This window comes from Homo sapiens, chromosome 10 (genome assembly GCF_000001405.40).
Source record: "Homo sapiens chromosome 10, GRCh38.p14 Primary Assembly".
In the NCBI taxonomy this organism is placed as follows: Eukaryota; Metazoa; Chordata; class Mammalia; order Primates; family Hominidae; genus Homo; species Homo sapiens.
This window is the reverse complement of record NC_000010.11, coordinates 66,366,320-66,390,930: the sequence shown is the minus strand read 5'-3', so window position 1 is coordinate 66,390,930 and position 24,611 is coordinate 66,366,320. Positions and strand designations below refer to the sequence as shown.

General features: G+C 36.6%; 1 protein-coding gene across 8 annotated transcripts in view; it reads left to right on the top strand.

The window, feature by feature from the left end:
* The window catches only part of CTNNA3 (catenin alpha 3), a 1,851,072-nt gene that overhangs the window by 1,372,664 nt on the left and 453,797 nt on the right, over window positions 1-24,611 (top strand). For all 8 annotated transcript variants that reach the window (XM_047425124.1, NM_013266.4, XM_017016152.2 and 5 more), the window contains one exon: window positions 11,579-11,779. In XM_047425124.1, the coding sequence (XP_047281080.1) occupies window positions 11,579-11,779 (201 nt within the window). The remainder of the gene's footprint in view (window positions 1-11,578; window positions 11,780-24,611) is intronic.

The window sequence follows — 24,611 nt, the reverse complement described above, 5'->3', positions numbered from 1 at the left end:
GACTTTGGAAAGAAGAGACAGAAGAAAGGATTTAGGAGGTAAAGAGGAAGAAGGGACTTTACATTTTACATTTAACTGTATGCATACTCTGTATTCTCAAGCTAGTTTTTGCTTAGATCTTTCTGTGGGATATTATTTAATTTGGAAACCAATCATCATAGTCAAACTCCTGACAAACAAATTCTGTAAGTACATAGATAAGCAACAATTAACTCACACACTAATGCATTCTATTTGCTTTTTAGTTTCATGTATGTTGGGTAAATGGGAAAGAAAAATTACTGTATTCTTGTTTTTATTTGTTGAACATTTATGTAGTTGCCTATGTAATGTGTTTTTAATTTATAGCTATGGAGCCAGGTATGCAAAAATGGAAACTTTTTTTTATAATTAAATTTAGCTTAAGTCTCTTAGCTCATATACACTGGGTAGCTAGAATTAATCTTGACAATTTAGAAAATTCAATCGATTTTGCATTATAACTCAGTTTCTCCAGAAAAACTAGTTAATATCTTTTTCTCTCTTCTTCCCTTCTCTGAATCTTTTTCTTGTGTATGTAGATATCAGGGGAGGAAACTGTTGATAGTGTATCATTTCTTGCTTGATGGATTATAGCATAAACTCTCTTCCCCTTAAGGCTTTGCTGTTGATGTATTCAAAGTCCCACTTCAGGAATTAAAAGGAGAAACTTTTACCTCTGAACCAATCTAGCTTTTGCAAACAAAATGTGCTGCTACTTTCAGTCTGTTCTCTGGACTATAGATTTATAAAATTCTACTTTGGCTGTAGAAAGCCAGTGATTTAACATTTTGTTTTCACTGAATTTTGTTTGTTTTCTACTTTCCCTGGGGCAATAGATTTGACCTTTAAATTCTGGCTTTAACTGTTGAAAACTGGCCAGGTGCAGGGGCTCACTCCAGTAATCTCAACACTTTGGGAATCTGAGGTAGGAGAATCGCTTGAGGCGAGGAGGTCGATATCAGCCTGAGCAACGTAGCAAGACCCTGTCTCTATAAAAAATTAAAACAGCCAGGCATGGCGGTGAGTTCCTGCAGTTCTAGCTACTTGGGAGCCTGAGGTGGAATGATCACTTGGGCCCAAGAGTTTGAGGTTGCAATGAGCTATGATTATGGCACTGTACCCCATCCTGGGTGATAGAAGGAGACCTTATCTCTCTCTCTCTCTCTCTCTCTCTCTCTCTCTCTCCATATATATATATGAATGAAACTGAACAACTAGAAAAAATTATAATTTTAAAAATGCATTTCAAAATTTTATTGTGCTACACTTCCTGTGGTGACTGAAGATGGAGTTAGCCAGAGAAGCTTGCACCAAACAAAGTATCTTTTAGTAAAACATCAATTCCTTTATTATCCCATGTATTACTATTTTCCAACAAAATAGAAATCACCCTTTGCATCTCAAGATGGCTATAAAAATGATTGATAGAAATTGCTAATAATTCACCAATTGTCTGCTCTTAAATGAATGCATTTCAGCATTTACGCTAACACCAGGACATTCCACCCCTCACCTCAGAGCAAATGTTAAGCTGATACTCTGAAGCTGTTAAGAAAAATCTTCACTATGTGACAATCCTTCAAAACATAATATTCTAAATGTGCTTGTTCTATAATAACATATTCTCTTTCTTTTAACCTCATTTTAAAAATGATGCATTTGTTGAGTTCAAGTGCATCTACTTCAGAAAAAAAAAATTTTTGAGGAGAGAACCAAATGACTTTTGCTGTGTTTAAAGAGTAAACCCATTCCATCAGAAGCAAAGTCTAAAGAGATTCAACAGTAGGAAGTTGTATACAAGGTATTTGGCATTTTTTTTCTTTCCTAAAAGTTTAAAGGCTGTGTAGCTAGGCATAAAAGCTCAAGCCTTCATGAAGTTCTTTTAGCCACTTAAATTCACCAGAAATATAAATAGCAGAGAAATAATCATTTTTAAGAAGTTGCTTAATGTTTAGTTATTGTGCATATGTGGGAGGTACCTAACATTTTGATTTTCTTTTTCGGGCATTCTATGTTTAGAGCTTCATGCAAATAGTTGTTCCTAGCATTCTGTAAAGCATTCAGGGTAATGGGAACGTGTCACAGTAATACAAACTTTGTGAACCTTTTCTAATTATTTTGTGCTATATTTAATCTTAGTAATTTCAAAGATCATTTACACATCTTCTCTAATATTCTTACTATAGCTGCTTTGGGTTAAGTCTGGTTATAGCTTCTTTTCGTTATTTTATTTATAATTTTTTCATATCATATGTTTATATAAGACTTTTATTTCCATATCTGACCTTACATCTATAATTCTTCAACAAGATTTAACACTATGGCCTCAGACAGGATTATTTAATTGTGAGCAGTAATCACACAACCTTCTGCAAAGCCAAACAAAAAAAGAACCAGAAAAATTCTTGCTATATTTTTATTCACTGCTTTAAATAATAAATTCATGGGCATATAGATCATACTTCTACAGAAGAGGTGACTACTCATTCATTGTTAGTGAATATTCTTTGTATATTTTCTCCTCTGCAAAATTCACTGGGGAAAAAATAGTTTGTACAAGCTATCATTTCATCTTTAATTAAAGAGAAATTACATAGTGTATTATATATTATTAATCTTCCAAGAACAGACATTGTTTTTACTGTAAATATTCTTTCACTTTTATAGGACTAAGAAAATAGCTCTACAATATAAAATTGAACACCTTAGTGAATACAGAGTAAACATTCGTTGAATACATATATGTTGCATTTGTTTTTAAAAAAAGAAACCTTGCCAATATACTTGAAAATAGTAGCTTCTTCTTTCTTTTACTACTATACTTTAATTTCTAGGGTACATGTGCACAACATGTAGGTTTGATACATAGGTATACATGTGCCATGTTGGTTTGCTGCACCCATCAACTCATAATTTACATTAGGTGTTTCTCCTAATGTTATCCCTCCCCCAGCCCTCCATCCCCTGACAGGCCCCAGTGTGTGATGTTCCCCACCCTGTGTCCAGGTGATCTCATTGTTCAGTTCCCACCAATGAGTGAGAATATGCGGTGTTTGGTTTTCTGTCCTTGTGATAGTTTGCTCAGAATGATGGTTTCCAGCTTCATCCATGTCCCTGAAAAGGACATGAACTCATCCTGTTTTATGGCTGCATAGTATTCCATGGTGTATATGTGCCACATTTTCTTAATCCAGTCTATCATTGCTGGACATTGAGGTTGGTTCCAAGTCTTTGCTATTGTGAATAGTGCAGCAATAAACATACGTGTGCATGTGTCTTTATTGTAGCATGATTTATAATCCTTTGTATATATACCCAGTAATGGGATTGCTGGGTCAAATGGTAATTCTAGTTCTAGATCCTTGAGGAATCGCCACAATATCTTCCACAATGGTTGAACCAATTTACACACCCACCAACAGTGTAAAAGTGTTCCTGTTTCTCCACATCCTGTCCAGCATCTGTTGTTTCCTGGCTTTTTAATGACTGCCATTCTAACTGGCATGAGATGGTATCTCATTGTGATTTTGATTTGCAGTTCTCTGATGACCAGTAATGACGAGCATTTTTTCATGTGTCTGTTGACTGCATAGATGTCTTCTTTTGAGAAGTGTCTGTTCATATCCTTTGCCCACTTTTTGATGGACTTGTTTTTTTTTCTAGTAAATTGGTTTGAGTTCTTTGTAGATTCTGGATATTAGCCCTTTGTCAGATAGGTAGATTGCAAAAATTTTCTCCCATTCTGTAGGTTGCCTGTTCACGCCGATGGTAGTTTCTTTTGCTGTGCAGAAGCTCTTCAGTTTAATTAGATCCCATTTGTCTATTTTGACTTTTGTTGCCATTGTGTTTGGTGTTTTAGTCATGAAGTCCTTGCCTATGCCTGTGTCCTGAATGGTATTGCCTAGGTTTTCTTCTAGGGTTTTTATGGTTTTAGGTCTAACATTTAAGTCTTTAATCCATCTTGAATTAATTTTTGTACAAGGTGTAAGGAAGGGATCCAGTGTTAGCTTTCTACATATGGCTAGCCAGTTTTCCCAGCACCATTTATTAAATAAGGAATCCTTTCCTCATTTCTTGTTTTTGTCAGGTTTGTCAAAGATCAGATGGTTGTAGATATGTGGCATTATTTCTGAGCCTCTGTTCTGTTCCATTGGTCTATATATCTGTTTTGGTACCAGTATCATGCTGTTTTGGTTACTGTAGCCTTGTAGTATAGTTTGAAGTCAAGTAGCATGATGCCTCCAGCTTTGTTATTTTTGCTTAGGATTGTCTTGGCAATGTGGGCTCTTTTTTGGTTCCATATGAACTTTAAAGTAGTGTTTCTCCAATTCTGTGAAGAAAGTCATTGGTAGCTTGATGGGGGTGGCATTGAATCTATAAATTACCTTGGGCAGTATGGCCATTTTCACGATATTGATTCTTCCTATCCATGAGCATGGAATGTTCTTCCAATTATTTGTGTCCTCTTTTATTTCATTGAGCAGTGGTTTGTAGCTCTCCTTGAAGTGGTCCTTCACTTCCCTTGTAAGTTGGATTCCTAGGTATTTTATTCTCTTTGAAGCAATTGTGAATGGGAGTTCACTCATGATTTGGCTCTTTGTTTGTCTGTTAATGGTGTATAGGAATGCTTGTGATTTTTGCACATTGATTTTGTATCCTGAGACTTTGCTGAAGTTGCTTATCAGCTTAAGGATATTTTGGGCTGATATGATGGGGTTTTCTAAAAGTACAATCATCTCATATGCAAACACAGACAATTTGAGTTCCTCATTTCCTAACTGAATACCCTTTATTTCTTTCTCTTGCCTGATTGCCCTGGCCAGAACTTCCAACACTATGTTGAGTAGGAGTGGTGAGTGAGGGCGTCCTTGTCTTGTGCCAGTTTCCAAAGGGAATGCTTCCAGTTTTTGCCCATTCAGTATGATATTGGGGGCTGTGGGTTTGTCATAAATAGCTCTTATTATTGTGAGATATGTCCCATCAATACCTAGTTTATTGAGAGTTTTTAGCATGAAGCACTGTTGAATTTTGTCAAAGGCCTTTTCTGCATCTATTGAGATAATCATGTGTTTTTTGTTGTTGATTTTGTTTATGTGATGGATTATGTTTACTGATTTGCATATGTTGAACCGGCCTTGCATCCCAGGGATGAAGCCTACTTGATCATGGTGGATGAGCTTTTTGATGTGCTGCTGGATTCAGTTTGCCAGTTTTTTACTAAGGATTTTCACATCAATCTTCATCAGGGATATTGATCTAAAATTCTCTTTTTTTGTTGTGTCTCTGCCAGGCTTTGGTATCAGGATGATGCTGGCCTCATAAAATGAGTTAGGGAGGAATCCCTTTTTTTCTGTTGATTGGAATAGTTTCAGAAGGAATGGTACCAGCTCCTCTTTGTATCTCTGGTAGAATTTGGCTGTGAATCCTTCTGGTCCTGGACTTTTTTTGGTTAGTAGCCTATTAATTTTTGCCTCAATTTCAGAGCCTGTTATTGATCTATTCAGAGATTCAACTTCTTCCTGGTTTAGTCTTGGGAGGTTATATGTGTCGAGGAATTTATCCATTTCTTCTAGATTTTCTAGTTTATTTGCGTAGAGGTGTTTATAGTATTCTCTGATGGTAGTTTGTATTTCTGTGGGATCGGTGGTGATATCCCCTTTATCAATTTTTATTGCGTTCATTTGATTCTTCTCTCTTTTCTTCTTTATTAGTCTTGCTAGCAGTCTATCAGTTTTGTTGATCTTTTCAAAAAACCAGCTCCTGGATTCATTGATTTTTTGAAGGGTTTTTGTGTCTCTATCTCTTTCAGGTCTGCTCTGATCTTAGTTATTTCTTGCCTTCTGCTAGGTTTTGAATGTGTTTGCTCTTGCTTCTCTAGTTCTTTTAATTGTGATGTTAGGGTGTCAATTTTAGATCTTTCCTGCTTTCTCTTGTGGGCATTTAGTGCTAAAAATTTCCCTCTACACACTGCTTTAAATGTGTCCCAGAGATTCTGGTATGTTGTGTCTTTGTTCTCATTGGTTTCAAATAACATCTTTTTTTCTTCCTTCATTTCGTTATGTACCCAGTAGTCATTCAGGAGCAGGTTGTTCATTTTCCATGTAGTTGTGTTGTTTGGAGTAAGTTTCTTAATCCTGAGTTCTAATTTGATGGCACTGTGGTCTGAGAGACAGTTTGTTGTGATTTCTTTTCGTTTAGATTTGCTAAGGAGTACTTTACTTCCCATTATGTGGTCAATTTTAGAATAAATGCGATGTGGTGATGAAAATAATGTATATTCTGTTGATTTGGGATGGAGAGTTCTGTAGATGTCTATTAGGTCTGCCTGTTGCAGAGCTGAGTTCAGGTCCTGGATATCCTTGTTAAACTTCTGTCTCATTGATCTGTGTAATATTGACAGTGGGGTGTTAAAGTCTCCCATTATTATTGTATGAGAGTCTAAGTCTTTTTGTATGTCTCTAAGGACTTGCTTTATGAATCTGGGTGCTCCTGTGTTGGGTGCATATATGATAGTTAGCTCTTCTTGTTGAATTGATCCCTTTACCATTATGTAATGGCCTTCTTTATCTCTTTTGATCTTTGTTGGTTTAAAGTGTGTTTTATCAGAGACTAGGATTGCAACCCCTGCTTTTTTTTGTTTTCCATTTGCTTGGTAGATCTTCCTCCCTCCCTTTATTTTGAGCCTATATGCATCTTTGCACATGAGGTGGGTCTCCTGAATACAGCACACTTACGGGTTTTGACTCTTTATCCAACATGCCACTCTGTGTCTTTTAATTGGGGTATTTAGCCCATTTGCACTTAAGGTTAGTATTATTATGTGTGAATTTGATCCTGTCATTATGATGTTCGCTGGCTATTTTGCCTGTTAGTTGATGCAGTTTCTTCATAGCATCGATGGTCTTTACAATTTGGCATGTTTTTGCAGTGGCTGGTACCAGTTGTTTCTTTCCATGTTTCATGCTTCCTTCAGGAGCTCTTGTAAGGCAGGCCTGATGGTGACAAAATCTCTCAGCATTTGCTTGTCTGTACAGGGTTTTATTTCTCCTTCACTTATGAAGCTTAGTTTGGCTGGATATGAAATTCTGGGTTGAAAATTCCTTTCTTTAAGAATGTTGAATATTGGCCCCTACTCTCTTCTGGCTTGTAGGGTTTCTGCCAAGAGATCTGCTGTTAGTCTGATGGGCTTCCCTTTGTGGGTAACTCAACCTTTCTCTCTGGCTGCCGTTAACACTTTTCCCTTAATTTCAACCTTGGTGAATCTGACAATCATGTGTCTTGGGGTTGCTCTTGTCAAGGAGTATCTTTGTGGTGTTCTCTGTATTTCCTGAATTTGAATGTTGGCCTGCCTTGCTAGGTTGGGGAAGTTCTCCTGAATAATATCCTGCAGAGTGTTTTCCAACTGGGTTCCATTCTTCCCATCACTTTCAGGTGCACCAATCAAACATAGATTTGGTCTTTTCACATAGTCCCATATTTCTTGGAGGCTTTGTTCATTTCTTCTTACTCTTTTTTGTCTAACCTTGTCTTCTCACTTTATTTCATTAATTTGATCTTCAATCACTGATACCCTTTCTTCCACTTGATCGAATCTGCTATTGAAGCTTGTGCATGTGTCATGAAGTTCTTGTGCCATGGTTTTCAGCTCCATCAGGTCATTGAAGATCTTCTCTACACTGTTTATTCTAGTTAGCCATTCATCTAATCTTTTTTCAAGGTTTTTAGCTTCCTTGCAATGGGTTCAAACATCCTCCTTTAGCTCAGAGAAGTCTGTTATTACCACACTTCTGAAGCCTACTTCTGTCAACTCATCAAAGTCATTTTCCATCCAGCTTTGTTCCATTGCTGGTGAGGAGTTGCGATCCTTTGGAGGAGAAGAGGTGCTCTGATTTTTAGAATTTCCATCTTTTCTGCTCTGGTTTCTTCCCATCTTTGTGGTTTTATCTACCTTTGGTCTTTGATGTTGGTGACCTACAGATGGCGTTTTGGTGTAGATGATCTTTTTGTTGATGTTGATGTTGATGCTACTCCTTTCTGTTTGTTAGTTTTCCTTCTATCAGGTCCCTCAGCTGCAGGTCTGTTGGAGTTTGCTGGAGTTCTACTACAGACCCTGTTTGCCTGGGTATCACCAGCAGAGGCTGCAGAACAGCAAATATTGCTGCCTGATCCTTCCTCTGGAAGCTTCATCCCAGAGGGGCAGCCGCCTATATGAGGTGTCTGTTGGCCTCTACTGGGAGGTGTCTCCCAGTTAGGCTACACAGAGGTCAGGGACCCACTTAAGGAGGCAGTCTGTCCATTCTCAGAGCTCAACCACCATGCTGGGAGAACGAGAACCACTGCTCTCTTCATAGCTGTCTGACAGAGTCGTTTATGCCTGCCAAAGTTGTCTTCTGCCTTTTGTTCAGCTGTGCCCTGCCCAAGAGATGGAGTCTAGAGGCAGTAGGCCTTGTTGAGCTCGGTGGGCTCCACCTAGTTCGAGCTTCCTGGCCACTGTATTTATCTACTGAAGCCTCAGCAATGGCAGATTCCCCTTCCCCAGCCAGGCTGCCGCCTCGCAGATCGATCTCAGACTGCTGCACTAGCAGTGAGCAAGGCTCCATGGGCATGGGACCCACTGAGCCAGGCATGGGAGAGAATCACCTTTTCTGCTGGTTGCTAAAACCTTGGGAAAAGCGCAGTATTTGGGCAGGGAGTGCCCTGTTTTTCCAGGTAGTCTGTCATGGCTTCCCTTGGCTAGGAAAGGGAAATCCGCTGACCCCTTGTGCTTCCCGGGTGAGGCAACACCCTGTCCTGCTTCAGCTCACCCCTTGTGAGCTGCACCCACTGTCCAACCAGTCCCAGTGAGATGAACCAGGTACTTCAGTTGGAAATGCAGAAATCATCCATCTTCTGCATCAATCACACTGGGAGCTGCAGACCGGAGCTGCTCCTATTTGGCCATCTTGGTTAGGTGAAAATGGTAGCTTCTTAATGTGTCATTAAAGTGTACATCTGTGGACTTCTTAAAAATTGATGATTACTATACCTTCTAAGGTCCAACCTATACTTCTGTTCCAGGGGAAATATGATAATATACATATGCTTTCTGTTGAGATTGGACCATGACTGTATTTACTGTAGGGCTTAATGATACATTCATAACTGAATGCTGCAAATTAGGTTAAAGCCCTAGTTAATTTATAATGAAGGTTTTCAGTGTTTAATATTTTTAATATAAGTGACTTTAAATGTCCTTAATATGGGTTAAATTTATCTAATTTCAGATAACAGATATGTGTTCACTTAGGTTCATAGCCCATGATTTAAGAATGTCTTATAAGAGAGCTTCATTCATTCATTCATTCATTCATTCAACAAGCATTCTTGTTAGCCTAACAAGTGCCAAGTATTATAACAAGTACTACTTAGAATACCTCGAGGAATAAGATAAAATTCTTTCCCTCAGATATATTTCAAATTCTACTAGAGAGATATTTTTAAAAGTAAATAATTAAAACACAGGTAGAATCTCTAATTGAGGCACATAAACCATTTTATGTGAATCCTAAACAACATGGAACAAAGTTGGTTTTGTTGTAGAGAATGAGGAGGTCAGCATGCATTTCCTGAGGCAGGAACATTTGCCTAGTGGCTTGAAAGAATAGTAGGAGTTGAGCAAGCAGGTCAAAGGGGACAGACTGTTCAGGCCAAGGTTCTAATATGCCCACAGGACAGAGGCATGGAAGATCATGAAGGATTTTGGAAATCATAAAATATGTATAACAGAATAATAGAAGCCAGATCTCAGAAGGTTAACAGGGACCATATTCAATGGTAGTTTGACTTTATTTTCTTTTTTCAAAAATTATGTCTCTTAGGTCTGCTTGTTGCAGAGCTGAGTTCAGGTCCTGGATATCCTTGTTAACCTTCTGTCTCATTGATCTGTCTAATATTGACAGTGGGGTGTTAAAGTCTCCCATTATTATTGTGTGGGAGTCTAAGTCTCTTTGTAGGTCTCTAAGGACTTGCTTTATGAATCTGGGTGCTCCTGTATTGGGTGCGTATATATTTAGGATATATTTAGTGTTTTGGCTTCTGGCTTTATCACATGAATCCCCACTTAATATCTTTAATGACTATTTCTTTAAAACACACACAGAAAACAATTATAACAGTAAGATCTCAGTAATTCCGGAACATATCATTATGAAATATATGAATACATATATGATTAAATAATGTTATGTTTATAAATACATTTAAATTTTAACTATATATAATTAATTTAATATATATATATATATAGATAGATAGATAGATAGATAGATAGGGCCTCACTCTATTACCCAGGCTGGAGTGTAGTGGCATGATCAAAGCTCACTGTAGCCTCAAACTCCTGGGCTCAATCAATCCTCCCACCTCAGCCTCCCAAGTAACTAGGACTACAGCAACATGCTGCTACTCCTGGCTAAATTTATTTTGTTGTAAAGAAAGGGTCTTGCTGTGTTTTCCAGGCTGGTCTTGAACTTCTGGCCCCAAGTCATCCTCCTTCCTAGGTCTCCCAAAGTACTAGGATTATAGATGTGAGCCACCACACCCAGACTGATTTTATTTTTTGGACGACAAGAGGGAAGTGTGACTCTGAAAGAAAACTGAAGAATAATTGTCCTTTGTAGCAAACACACACATAGTCAGCACATATACACAAGCAGATTGGGAAAGAGAAAGACAGAGAGACACAGACAGAGAGAGTGAGAGGGACAAAAAAAGAGAGAAAGAGAATTAATGATATGTTCTGGAATTACTGAGATCTTATTGTTATAATTGTTTTCTGTGTGTGTTTTAAAGAAATAGTCGTTAAAGATATTAAGTGGGGATTCATGTGATAAAGCCAGAAGCCAGAACACTAATTCTTTTAATATTCTTTCAATTTGTTAGAAATATCATTGACCATGTTTGTTGATATTCCACATATTTGTGCATCTTCATTCATTAGTTTTAGCTGGGAGTATTAATCATTTTATGAAGAAAGAAAATATTACTGTGCTATAGTAACTTCCTGCTATCTTCATGGCCTAGTCATCTAAAGAATGGAGAGGATGAGGTCAGGAGACACTCTTCAGAGTAGGCAACTTTCTCTGGAATTCATTTGTTTAAATCCATCTTTTAAAAGACTTATGTATATATAAGTTTTATAATCTGTATAATATTGCTTTCATTCACGATGTAGAATTTCATCATCACATATTTTGTTTTCATTTTAATCTAGAAACTGTCTTTAATTTCCACCTCTATGTCAGTCTAAAATCTAATCTACTGGAACTAGAATCTAAAATAATATGCAGTCAATACAAATTTCTCTTAAAAATGTAACATGTTATATTTCATGGATTTTGCTATTAAAGAATAAAGGGATGTAAGCAAAATATGTCTCCAATTTTTTTATAATTCTCAAAGTCTTCCATTTCCAATGTGCACTCTATCTGAAGTCAGAAGTTAACATAATTATAATATGCTAGATTTGTATGATTTTAAACACAGACACACGCAAAAACTAATTTGATTCATTTACTTACAGAAAGCCATATCTTGGAAGATGTCAACAAGTGTATCATAGCCTTAAGAGACCAGGATGCTGATAATTTAGACCGTGCTGCGGGTGCTATCAGAGGCCGGGCAGCAAGAGTTGCTCACATCGTCACGGGTGAAATGGACAGTTACGAGCCAGGGGCTTACACGGAAGGTGTAATGAGAAATGTTAACTTCCTTACAAGTACTGGTAAGTCAGTTGCCAATAACAGCTGCACAATTTCTCTTATTTGAATCTACATAGCTACGAATATTCATACATGTGGGAAAGATTCTAGTCTGTGTTGCTTCTTTTGACATACATTGCTATACAGTGCTTGCACACTTTGGTTATGCGATTTGAAATTTATCACTGAGAAGTAAATATATTCATTGGTAAAAAGAGGTCTTCTATAAATATATGCGTTATATAAATTACCCACAGGCCTTAGTCAGAAACCACTTAGAATGTTCATTAATGCCTTATCTATTAGGAGATATAATTAGGCTGATATGGTATCAAGTATGTGATAGTCACCAAACCCTCTGTTAACTGTATCATTGATATCCCTAAGTTTTTGTTTACATTACTTAAACACAGCAAGTCTGTCCTACGTTTCCAGAGAAATGCTCTTACCTTCATCTGCAGTCTGTTTGCAAAACAGCAATTTGTTCTTGCACATAATCTTCTTTGATTGCATAAGAAATGTGGAACCACTCTTTTGTGTTGATTGCAGCACTCAGGTTAGTATTTTCGAAAAACCAGCCAGCAAATGCTTAGTTCTTGAATCCCTCAGTGAAATGGCATTTTAACACTATTGTTAACCTTTCTCCAAGAAACTTACAGAAGTGTCTGAATTCATATGGATTCAAAAACAATGAGGACAATCAACTATTTTTATAAGTCATGATAGCAGAACTCCTTCCTGGGAAAACCCTTTGTGAATTTGTGAAATCCTCAGGTTAGAATTTTTACTATTGCCTCCTCACACTAGGGTGATGGTGCATCTGTGATTCCTAAAATATTTGAAATTCCAACCTTAAGTCATCGATCCTGGAGAATCATTTTTCATGTTATGCATATGGAATATGAAATTTGATATGCACATTGTTTAGCCAAAAGAGTAGAAGGGACAAAGATGAGTCATTTTTTTAATTTTTCTTTTATATTTGAAGCCACTCCTTGAAATGAATTAAGAGAAACAAACCAACAGTTGAATAATATTCACTAGAGACTAGGTCTGAAGTGCTATGCTGCAAGGCAAGCTTAGCAAGGTTTGCAGGGAATTGATGATCAGTTTTGCTGTTTTTCTAGCAAGTTGATAAACAAAATCATTGATGAATCTTGGTATGTAATTTTCTTACTATCTCTTTGAAATATTTCTAAAATAATGCAATGCTAACAATGTGGTAAGGAAAGATAAAACTCTTGATATTATTAAATTTATATTGCTATATCCACTCCTCAAAGTCACCGGTATCAATAGGGCACATAGTAGTTACTTTTTCAATAAGTTATGGCAATATATTTACTTGTTTAAAAAGATGATTGTGCTCTGGTCATTCAGTATCTCTTCCCTAACTAAATTTAAGCACTCCTTTCATGTTGGTCAAAACCACATACAGAGTTTTCTGTGTCCCTGATTTTTTTCTACCTTCTGAGAATAGAATGTAAGTAAAAGAAGAATGTAACAGGGGTTTTTTTTTTAGACAAATAAAAATTTCCTATCAGGAATTGGTTAGGTAAAATCTAGGAGGACTAATATTTTGCCTCTGTCTCAGTTTTATAATCGTGTTAGTCTTGTGAGCATACTTTATGATCATAATTCTGTTTGAGGTACCAGGTTTACAGTTTTATGCCACTGTTTGCAATCACTCTGAGATCAGAAAATAATGAAACAAAGTTATTTAAACACTTAATTGCAAGTTTATTAATACCTCTTTGATTTATAATAACCTTTCTAGATAGCTAATCCATATGGCTACATTATCACATTCAGAAGAGAAAAAAATCTGTTTTCTTCTAATTAGTTGTATATAATTTTAATTAAAATTCTCTAGATAAATTATGTCCTATATCCCAAATATAATGAATATAAAATAATCCTGGGTTATTATGTATAAACAGCATCTTATTATTAGCGTAACGGTATAGTTTATGATGTCCCAATTTTGTTATTTTAGTTACTCAGAAAAATTTTGGTGTATCTTTGAAAAAGCTTTCCATTTTTGTTTATGTCTAATTCCAAACTATTCTCCAAATAGCCTTCTTTGAAATTTATGAAAAGCATGCCTTACTAAAAGGAATTCTGAGCAATAAATTAGATGAGAAAACTAATTAGATCAGTTTGATCTTAACCAAAGCTGAAAAATGTGAAAATTTTCTTTCCCATGGAGACATTGTCTATGAAAGATACTTCCCACTACTCTATCCTCCAGAATTTACTAACAGGAGATGTTCATCGTTGTTTGCGTCTGCTTCACATCTTGGACTTATTAGTTATAAATAATTGCCAAATTAAATAATTGGAAATATCATGTTTTGTGTTATGAGGCCTTAATAGTTTACTTTTTAGCAAGTGAACAGTAATATCTGTGGACTGTCTTTCTCTGTGTTTCCTTTTCTTTTATACAGTCTTCAGGATTTAACCCTGCTTTCTGAAAATGACTTTATGAGGAGCTATAGTGAATTGTTGTTTATTACCAAGACTTTTCCGTCTTTGCAAAGTTTGCCTTAAAGTATTGTCATAAATGATGAAATATAAGCCATACTTATCTAAATCACAAAGAAGGTTTTTAGAACATAGCACCTTTGATTTTAATCAGACTTTGTAGCTCATTAGTACATTTTCAAAATTTGATGATCTTCTAAGTGTTTTCTCAGCATTAAGAAGCAGGGCTGACCTATTATATCTCAGGAATTTATATTGTTCACAAACTCTAGTGAAATGTAGTCAACATCTGGAATGCTACATTTCACCCAGATAGAAGCATAATATTGTAATCTTCATGTGAAATTCTTTATTCCACCCCATTTATCCCTGTTACTAAGCTCCTCCTCCTGTCAGGAATTCTTAATAGAGAATATAGAATATATTAGCTTTTTAAATAAATAATAAACCTTCTGGACTGTATTGTGAAGGCTTACAAATTATACTCTTAGTGTCAACTTCAGTTCTTTTGTACTACGTTGGGGAAAAACCTAAACTGGAAGTGGACGGACATAAGACATTTTTGTGTGATTTATGAACGCTATAAAATTCAGGAATCAGCAGGCCCCAGAGCAGCTGTTGCAAACCTCCAACCCCCACCTAGTTTTACTGTTTGCCAGGCTCATGGACCAAAACAGAACAGGTACATAAATGAATCTGACCAAGATATCCTGGTGGCATCCACTGTTGGCAACTGGCAGTGATGGCAAATACAGGTTCATTCATCAAGTATCTGATGAGGCCGAGACTGGAAAGTGTGTATCCAGAATTCCCACCTTCTTAGAATGAACAATTGCCATATAGTTACATGTTTTTTGTCTCAAAGGCAAATGAGACAGTTGAAAGAAATTTTGAGCCAATAAATTTTTCTAAAATTTTGTTGTAAATTGTTTACTCCAGTTTAAGCAACAGATAGAGTTTTAAGATGTATTTCATTTAAAACGTAGTTTGAAAAAACTTTAATAGCAGTTGGTAACCCCTCTCAATTCCCTTTCATTTAATATGGTTTACATATACATATCTTGCATTTTGTAGCTTGATTAAAACATGCTTTTTTTTTTTGGCATTGCAGCTCTGTCCTACAATCTTAAATATTTATAAAAACTAAAGGTTTTAGTTCTAGCAGTCCTTACCCTCTGCAGTCCGGCAGTGTTTGAAAATTAGTAGTCTACATACTAGGTATGACTCAAAGAATTTTTATGTGGCCAGTGGAGTTTTGACCAACATAATTTTCACGGGAATTGGCTGGAGCTTAGTGGTGTCCTCTTTTTCACTGAGCCTTGGCCATGGTCTCTACCATGCCATAGTCTCTTCCACTCTGTCTCATTATAGCCCCAGTCTTCTTCACTCAGTTTACCTTCTTGAACTCTGGAGGAATTTGATTTCACCTAAAATTTTATTTCTAACTTTTTTTTTTTTTTTCTGATGTGGGCCAAAAGGCACCTTCCACAACACTTAAGTTAATACTTCCACAATGGCGGGGACATGCCAAGATTATTAACTGCCATCACTCTCTTTTTAAATATCTCTACCCCTTGTTTCTCACATCAAATTCTATGCATATTTCAAGAAAAAGCTTATATTCATGTCCTCTAGAAATCTTTGGCAATAATGAATTCTTTCTGTTCTCGTGCACTGTAGCTCTTAAGGGACGTGCCAACTCAATTACATCATCCCAGACAAGTATATGCTCTTGATGAACTCCTCAGATATACTGTCATAAAAATGGCTTTTCTGGTCTGGGTGTGGTGGCTCACACCTGTAATCCCAGCACTTTTGGAGGCCAAGGCGGGAGGATCATGAGGTCAGGAGTTCAAGACCAGCCTGGCCAACATGGTGAAACCCCGTCTCTAGAAAAAATACAAAAAAATTAGATGGGTGTTGTAGCATGTGCCTGTAATCCCAGCTACTTGGGAGGCTGAGGCAGGAGAATTGCTTGAACCCAGGAGGCAGAGGTTGCAGTGAGCTGAGATCCTGCCACTGCACTCCAGCAGGGGTGACAGAGCGAGACTCCGTCTCAAAAAAAAAAAAAAAAAAAAAAAAAAGGCTTTTCTTTCAAAATGGAATATGAGCTACAGGAGAAAAAGACACTCATATTATTTTTCTTTGAATCTCTCCCAGGGCCTACCATTGTGTCGTATGTTAGAATTAAAAAGAAAAAAAAATCAAAACCCAAAACGAAATCTCTTGAATTGAGCTTCTAAGGCTTTGCTAATTCTATCCCTGCAGTTGGAATGATTGCCTTTTCTTCTCTACTGCCCTCTTAAAATATAATCATTCTAAACACTTTCTCAAATGCCACCACCTTTGCAAAGGAGCTTTTGATTCCCTTTCAGTTAGAATTAATTGCTCCATTATCTGTATTACTATGAGCTTGTCCTCTAGTTAATGTTTATTTCACTTTGCCTTTGATCATAATCAGCCATTTACATACAAGTTTCTCCCACTAGATTGTAATGTCCTTAAAGACAGACACCACACTTTCTTTATTTTTATTTTCCCCGGTAGCATCTACACATAGCAGAGGGGCCCAATGATCAATGATCACCAAGTCCTTCTCCAAAATTTAAATTTAAAATGTACTGCAAGATTACACTGTGATACAGTCTAGTTAAGCAGGAGAATAGGTTGTCATCCCAATTCAGGAGGAAAACAACCCCTGGAAACAGTGGGCTGTGTCAAAGGATGGGGCAGAGAAAAGATTAAGAAAGTGATTCATTACTGTCCAGAGTTAGATCTTAGCCACTTCCAGAAAACTTGGGGTCAGATTTTTAAAAGGTTCTTTAGCAAGCTTTTGAACAATTGATCATGAATATTGTGTATTCAATTACTTACAAGAACCATCATTGAACTACGTCTGTTGAAAGATCTGACTGAACCTAATTTTGGTAATGCTTCCAGCAAATCCCTGTAAGGGGTAGTAACTGTGCTTTCACATTTGGGAGCCATTGTTGGCGAATTTCCTCCCCTTTAAGCAGTCTGAACAGGCTTTCAAATTATATCCTTTCTGCCTTTTGGATTAGACGTTAATATAACTCTTTTTTTTTTTTAACACAATTAGAGAGCATTAACAAGAGGTTTCTGTCTGCAGATCACTTGGCTAACCTGGATAACTGTGTGTCTTCGTGTTGATAATTCTAAAGTTGGAAATTAAATTACAACTCAGCCTCTCTAAAGAAGAGTAAGATCTCATGACCGTGGAAGTGCTTCTGTTCCCATAGGAGTGTGGGACCTTAGGTGACATTATGAGTTGAAGAAAGTAGCTGTTAGAACTTCTGAGTGGAAAAATCTATTTTCTGTCCAAGGAAGACTGGATTTATATAGGACCCAGATCTAGTTAAGAGACTAAGGATCCAGTTAAAGAACTAAAATAAGAATGGCAAGATTCTTATCTTGCCATTTTAAGTAAATGAACATACAAACTTGTCAGAAAAAAGAAAATGCTATAAAAACTGCAATCTTCAATATGTATTGTGTGATGCAAAATCTTTTCTCACCTTTTTGACATGGTACATGGAGTAATCTAAAGTGACACTGTTGGTATAGCCTTATTTTTTAAAAAATAATATATTCTGACACAGTGATAGAAATTTTATTGTTAAATGAGGAATAATATAAAGGGCTTAAGAGTGGATATTAAAGAATCATAAAGAGGGGTTGAGATACTGCCATATCTGAAAAATGTAAAATATGTAACTGATGTGGTTTGGCTGTGTCCCCACCCAAATCTCATTTTGAACTGTAATTCTCATAATCCTCATTTGTTGAGGGAGGGACCCAGTGGGAGGTAATTGAATCATGGGGGTGGTTTCCCCTATGCTGTTCTTGTGACAGTGAGTTCTCACAAAATCTGATGGTTTTATAAGCATCTGGCATTTCCCTTTCGGGCACTCATTCTCTCTCCTGTCTCCCTGTGAAGAGGTGCCTTCTGCCATGATTGTAAGTTTCCTGAGGCCTGCCCAGCCATGTGGAACTATGAATAAATTAAACCTGTTTTCTTTATAAATTAGCCAGTCTCAGGTATTTCTTCATATCAGTGTGAGACCAGTATGAGAACAGACTAATACAGTAACTTTGAGATTTTTGCTAAATGAAGGATGGGTTAACAACAGTGGAGATGAATTGGCATGGGCTGAAAAGAAGGGAGAATTGGAAGATGAACCAGAGAATGGGAACATGCTGTGTGGTTATTCACCAGTGCAAAGGTGTTCCAGAGGTCTTGTATCTTCTGTAACTCTAGAACACCTGTGACTAGCCTCATATGGATCTTCTCCTGGGAAACAAGATATCATCTAGAAAGAGAAAGAGGTCACATCTTTCATTCTGATCCTACTTTCCCGTATTTCTGTAAAATGACTAATTCAGATTTACTCTATGGATCTTTATGTGCTGAAGGCAATAGAAAAATAATTTATGTTTAAAAAGATTAGACATGAAGTATTAAGTATTAGTTTTGGTTCTGGGTTGCAAAGAACTGAAATTAAGAATGGCTAAATTAGGCAGAAAAACACAGGAAGACTGGAGAACAAGAAGAAAAAACTGGCAGACTGCAAGGGACACTTCATATAGGAACACAGTTAAAGTCATCCCAAAGAATAGCTTTTCAAAGTACCATTCCAGCCCCCTCTGAACACTTAATGCCACTAACAGTATCATAACATTATGACACTGGACCACACAGCTGGTACATTTATTCGCTACCACATTTCAGATGGTTCTACCACTGGAATAAATCATAAAATATCCCTGCTTTTGCCTCACTTGCTTTAAACTCAACTTCCAGTGCCAGAAGCATTATCTTAGTAGAGTTTAAATCATGTGCCCACACCTTGGCTGTCAGCATGCATAGGGGTGAGTACCTGGCCTTCGAGCTTCTTTGCAGACAGTGCTCTGCCTCACACTAAGACTCTTACACTGGCATATTCCCTGCATAATAAAGGGCTTTGAAGTCTGTTAGCAAAGGGGGAAGTTGGGGATGATGAGAAGCAGGAGAGGATGATTATCAACGAGGAAGCAAAAGGACCCAGAGAAAGGAAATTGAGGATTGATGCTGCCAACTTAATTGGACATCACTGGGACAATGGAACTACTTGCATCCATATTATGCAACCAAGAACATTGCCCTTCAGCAGCTTGTTGCAAAGCCAATTCTTTTAGATGGTTTATGAAACCTTTAAAACAAGCATAAAAGCCTGCTTTATTTCTGGTAGATTTATTAAACAAGGTATTATGATACCACTCCAAATTGAGGTACATTCCAGGGAAGACATGCCATAGCAGAATATATGATGTGAATATGATTCTATGGCCAAGACACTAGCTTCATAAAATAATGTTTGTTTTGCTGTATATGTAAAAGTATAAAGGAGTCTATGCAGGTTTTCAAAAAGGGGGAACGTTTACCCTTCAGTGATATACTGAGGTTTCTTCTTTCTTTAACTACAATGACAAAATTTAACACATCTGTATCCTGGTATTGTTCAAATGTAGAGTGATACTGAATTGAACTTTATATTTTGTTTTAAATCCAACGGAATGGGTACTTTGACTTCACTAATTTTTAAGATTACTAAGTATGAGACATTCTTTGTAACAGCATAGACTAGTGTTTTCTAAGATCATACTGTTTGAGGCTGGGCAGTGGTTCATACCTGTAATCCCAGCACTTTGGAAGGCTGAGGTGAGAGGACTGCTTGAACCCAAGTGTTCGAGATCAGCCTAGGCAACATAGTGAGACCCAGCTCTACAAAAGAAGAAAATAGTAATTAAAAAATGTTAGCCAGGCATGGTGGTACACACCTGTAGTCCCAAATACTTGGGAGGTTGAGGTGTGAGGATCACTTGAGCCCAGGAGTTTGAGGCTTCAGTGAGCTGTGAATGTGCCACTGCACTCTATCCTGGGGAACAGAGTGAGACCCTGTCTCTCAAAAAAATAAAATAAAATCATAATGTTTGCACAGCCACTGGGAGAAAAGAAGTGGCTGCTCAAGGCCCGAGGGGATCAGAGGCTCTGCAGTTATCAAGCAGTTTTAGCTCCTTCCCAGCTACCTTGAGAGCTAAGGAGCTCAAGATCTGAAAGCTCCTCTCACTAACACACACCAATATGCCTCACCAGAGCTGTTAGGAGCTCTGTTCTAGATAGCTGTCTACTGAGTAATCCAATAGTTAAGTATCTTTGAAAGATAATTACTGTAAAATGTTTTATAAACCATAACATAGTGTATGTTTTTAAAAATGTAGACAAACTGGCAGAAGGCTTCTCTCTTCCATTTCATCTCAAAAATCAGATTTATGAAACTAATGAAACAATTCCCTTCAGTTGTTGCAAGTATCTATTTCATGTATGAATAGCCTGTAGCTGCAAAGACAGCTAATTTTACTTTTTTAGGGGTCTTTATATATAGCCAGAAAAGTCTGGTTATATATTTATTGATGTGAGCTGATAAAACTTTTATATACTCATCTGTAAAACTTAATTCGAGGTTCAAGGTCACTGAGGCTGGAGAATAAACCAAGATATTATGTCCCTTAGATTTTCTTTCCTCTAGTTTGGGAGAGAACATAAACCATGTGAATTCGAGTGTGTAAATCAGATTGCATTTCCCCTGGTGGTAAGTAATTGGTGCAGGCAGCAGAACTTAATTGACAATAGCTTTAGCCATTTCATCCCCACCCTCTTCCCAACTATGTCTTTCATGCCAATTTTTATGTGATTCCTCAGATGTAGTCCTGGTTGGGTGGGGGTGGTTACAATGGGTATAATTATATTGCCACGTTTTCAAGACGAGCAAGTTTAGTAAATGAAGAATTAAGCATTTCTTAGGTGAGCAGTACCTATAGCTGTTGCCGAAATAAGGTATATTGCATTTATGCTATCAGACTTCATGGACGTAAAAGCAAATGCTGAAAGGGCATATTGTTGCTAAGAAAAAAACAAATTAGCCGGCCAACATTTGCAAATGACAATGTTATCTACAAGCTTTATTAATAGATGTGAATATTTTATTCAATGAAATCAATTAATTGTTTATCATGCATGGGTAAATTCTATTTAGCTCTCTTTCACTTGGGAAAAAATTATGTGTAACTAACCTGCACGTTGCGCACATGTACCCTAAAACTTAAAGTATAATAGAAAAACAAAAAAACTGTAAACACTAGATATCATAAGATCATCAATGAAGAAAGATTGCTTGACTAAAGGTGGAAAGGATATTCTAAAGATAGCCACAATTGGAAGAACAATTCTGAGAGCAGAACAAGTGGACATCGATCAGGTGTCCAGTTAACCAGCTCAGGGAGGATAGAAGTAGTTCGAATAAAGCCAAGGAGACTTTAGACAGCTGGAAAGCGGTTTCCACTGTGTGCCAAGCCATGATTTCTACTGAAATATATTTTCACTTCACAAATCAAAATTTCTAGCTCATGGTAATTTACAGCTTCCTCTTTCATCAATTACAAAAGAAAGTATTACTGCTTAATAATACTACACAGCAGCCTAAGGACCTGGGAAGAGATTTCTTCTCCTGAAATGTATTAGTAACCCAGTGCTATCTTGCAAAATGTAATATATTCTGGTGATCATCCACCATTTAATTTTACTGTCTGCCAAAATCTGTAGCAGTTAAAGTTAAATGAACAATTTATATTATAAAATTCCTCTGCTGATATAGGGATTTTTAAAAGTATCATTTATTATAAACACTGCTGGCAGTATTTCTTTAAGATTCCAGATATTCTAAAGTCTAGTGTTGATTGTAGGTTGTAGTGATTTAAGAAAGGTTATACAAATTCCCTTACCACATGCCTCAAAATGCTTATGTAAAAAGAGGAATTAAAGTATGGATGTTGATAAAAAATGAAATTATTTTTGAGGGAAGAAGAAGTAAGTTAAAATATTGTACTTCTCTTGCCATCTCCCCTATGTTATTTATTTATATATCCTTTAATAGCTACTTCTGTTGGTAAATCGGTATTAGTGTTTTTCCATTATTTGCATTTATTAATGTATTTGCCGTATCTCCACAATTACAATCAAATAACTTTGAGTCAAGGTACTAACAATGTTTTGTTTTGTCTTTTCCATCTATTTAGAAAGCTAACACAAGAGTAAACTGAAAAGATATAACTACGCAGTCCCAGTCTAACATCCCGTTAAAATAACAGTAAAGGAACACAAAAGGGAATAAACTCTTAATGGCAAATGCATGGGTGTAGGATTATCACAGGGAAAAAAAAAAGATCCAGAAGATAGAAAGCAGCTGGAAACATGGAGATAGATGAAAGAGAGCAGCAAAAGCCTCTATCTAAACTGTGCACAGGAGGGCTCTGCTGAGGAGCTGTGAGTTTCTGCTTGACTGTTGTTAGACTTCTTATCACAACACTGAGTTCTGCAAGGCAATGAAGCAATGGCTTCATGTTCATGAGAAAATTAACATGATCTTAGAATACTATATTCATCCAAATTATGTGGTCAAATAAAAACCTTTTTGTGTGCATAAGAACTCAGAAATGTAACTTGTGTAGATCTTCTTGAGAAATGACTTGAAAGTGTGCCCAAACTAAACAAGAGATGGGAAAAACAGAAATAGGACGACATGGAATGCTGAAATAGTGATTCTAACCCAGAGATGTAATGAATAAAATGGCAAGTTGGCAGATGCCCAGCAGATCCAGAAAGCAATGGATCCACATTAGAATACAAAGTCAGCGGGCTCCCAGAAAATAATAATAATAATAATAATAATAATAATAATAATAATAATAATAATTATTATTATTATTATTATTATTATTATTATAAAAGAAGCCTTAAAAAGATGCAGAAAACCAGAATAACTAAATTAGTCACATGATAAAGAAAGCAATTCGCTATCCTCTGTAAAATGCATTACTCTACCAGTCCCCACCCAGGAGGCTTAGAATATCATGAATCTAACTATATGACCCCAAAATTTTAAAATTCGGCTTCCACTGCTATCAGCTTATGCTTAACTTTTTGTATTTGTTCATTTCCTATATTTGTCATTTCTTTTGTCATTGTTAAGAAACCAGATTTTAGTGTCACATGGCAAACATCTGTTATGCTGGTTTTGAATATCTATTACATATATTAAAGATATGTACATATGTGCATATGTTTCTATATATTTACAATATTATATATAAATATATGTATTATATGTAATGTTGCAACTATATATGTATAGTATGTATTATATATATAACATGTCAATGATTGATTTCTTTTGTTTTAAATGATCATTTGGAAAAGAGTTATCTTACAGCTGGGCTGGAACTCTCCATGATTACCTGGAGGTCTGACACTGACTTTTGGCCACAATAAGAAGGCTTGAACTAGTTTATATTTATAATACATTGTTTAAGTTTGAAATCACCTTGTTGGTACCAAGAGTCAGCTTGTTTACAATGTTTAGGGGTGTGTAGATTGATGGCTTACGCATGGGCTAACCAGTTACATAGCATGGCTTGGCTATGTGATCAGTGGGACGTATATCCTGAAGATTCATAATTCAGAGATGAAGCACATCCTGTGTGACTGAGAAGGGACTCTAGGTAGGTGTGCAAGTCTCCCAGGCCCGGGTGTGTGGGCTGCACATTCTTTCTTCTGCTATGTTGCATTTCTTACATTGAATAGGTCTTCCTTGAGTAGTTTCCATAGAATTTTGCAAACCCTTTCAATTATCCAACACCGTCTGTAACTGTTGTAGTTATAACTCATTTATTTTATTTTAAAAACCCACTGAAGATACTAGAACACACACACACAAAGATACACACATACACATCTACCTTAATCATACAGAGTTAAGCAAGTGGTTGCATTAGGTTTTGTTGCTAACTGCTCTGTTTTTATTTACTTTTTAAAAGGTGCTCAGTAAGCTTTTATAATTAGACCATCTCAGTTCATCCAGGCTGCTATAACAAAATATCTTAGTCTGGGCAAGTTATAAACAACAGAAATTTATTGCTCACAGTTCTGGAGCTGGAGAAATTCAAGATCAAGGCACCAGCAGATTCAATGTCTGGGGAGGATGCATCCCTCATAGATGATGTGTTCTAAGTGGTGGAAAGGACAAACAAGCTTCCTCAAGCCTCTTTTAAAAAGGCACTAATAACTGTTCATGAAGGCAGAACCATCATGACCTTCATCTTTTAAAGGTCCTACCACTTACTACTATTGCATTGGCGAATAGGTTTTAACATATGAATTTTGGGGGAACACATATGTAGACAATAGCATAGAATTTGTGCAGTCAGAATTGCTGAATCATGGTTTTTTCTCAGAGAACTTTCCAAGCTCAAAAACCT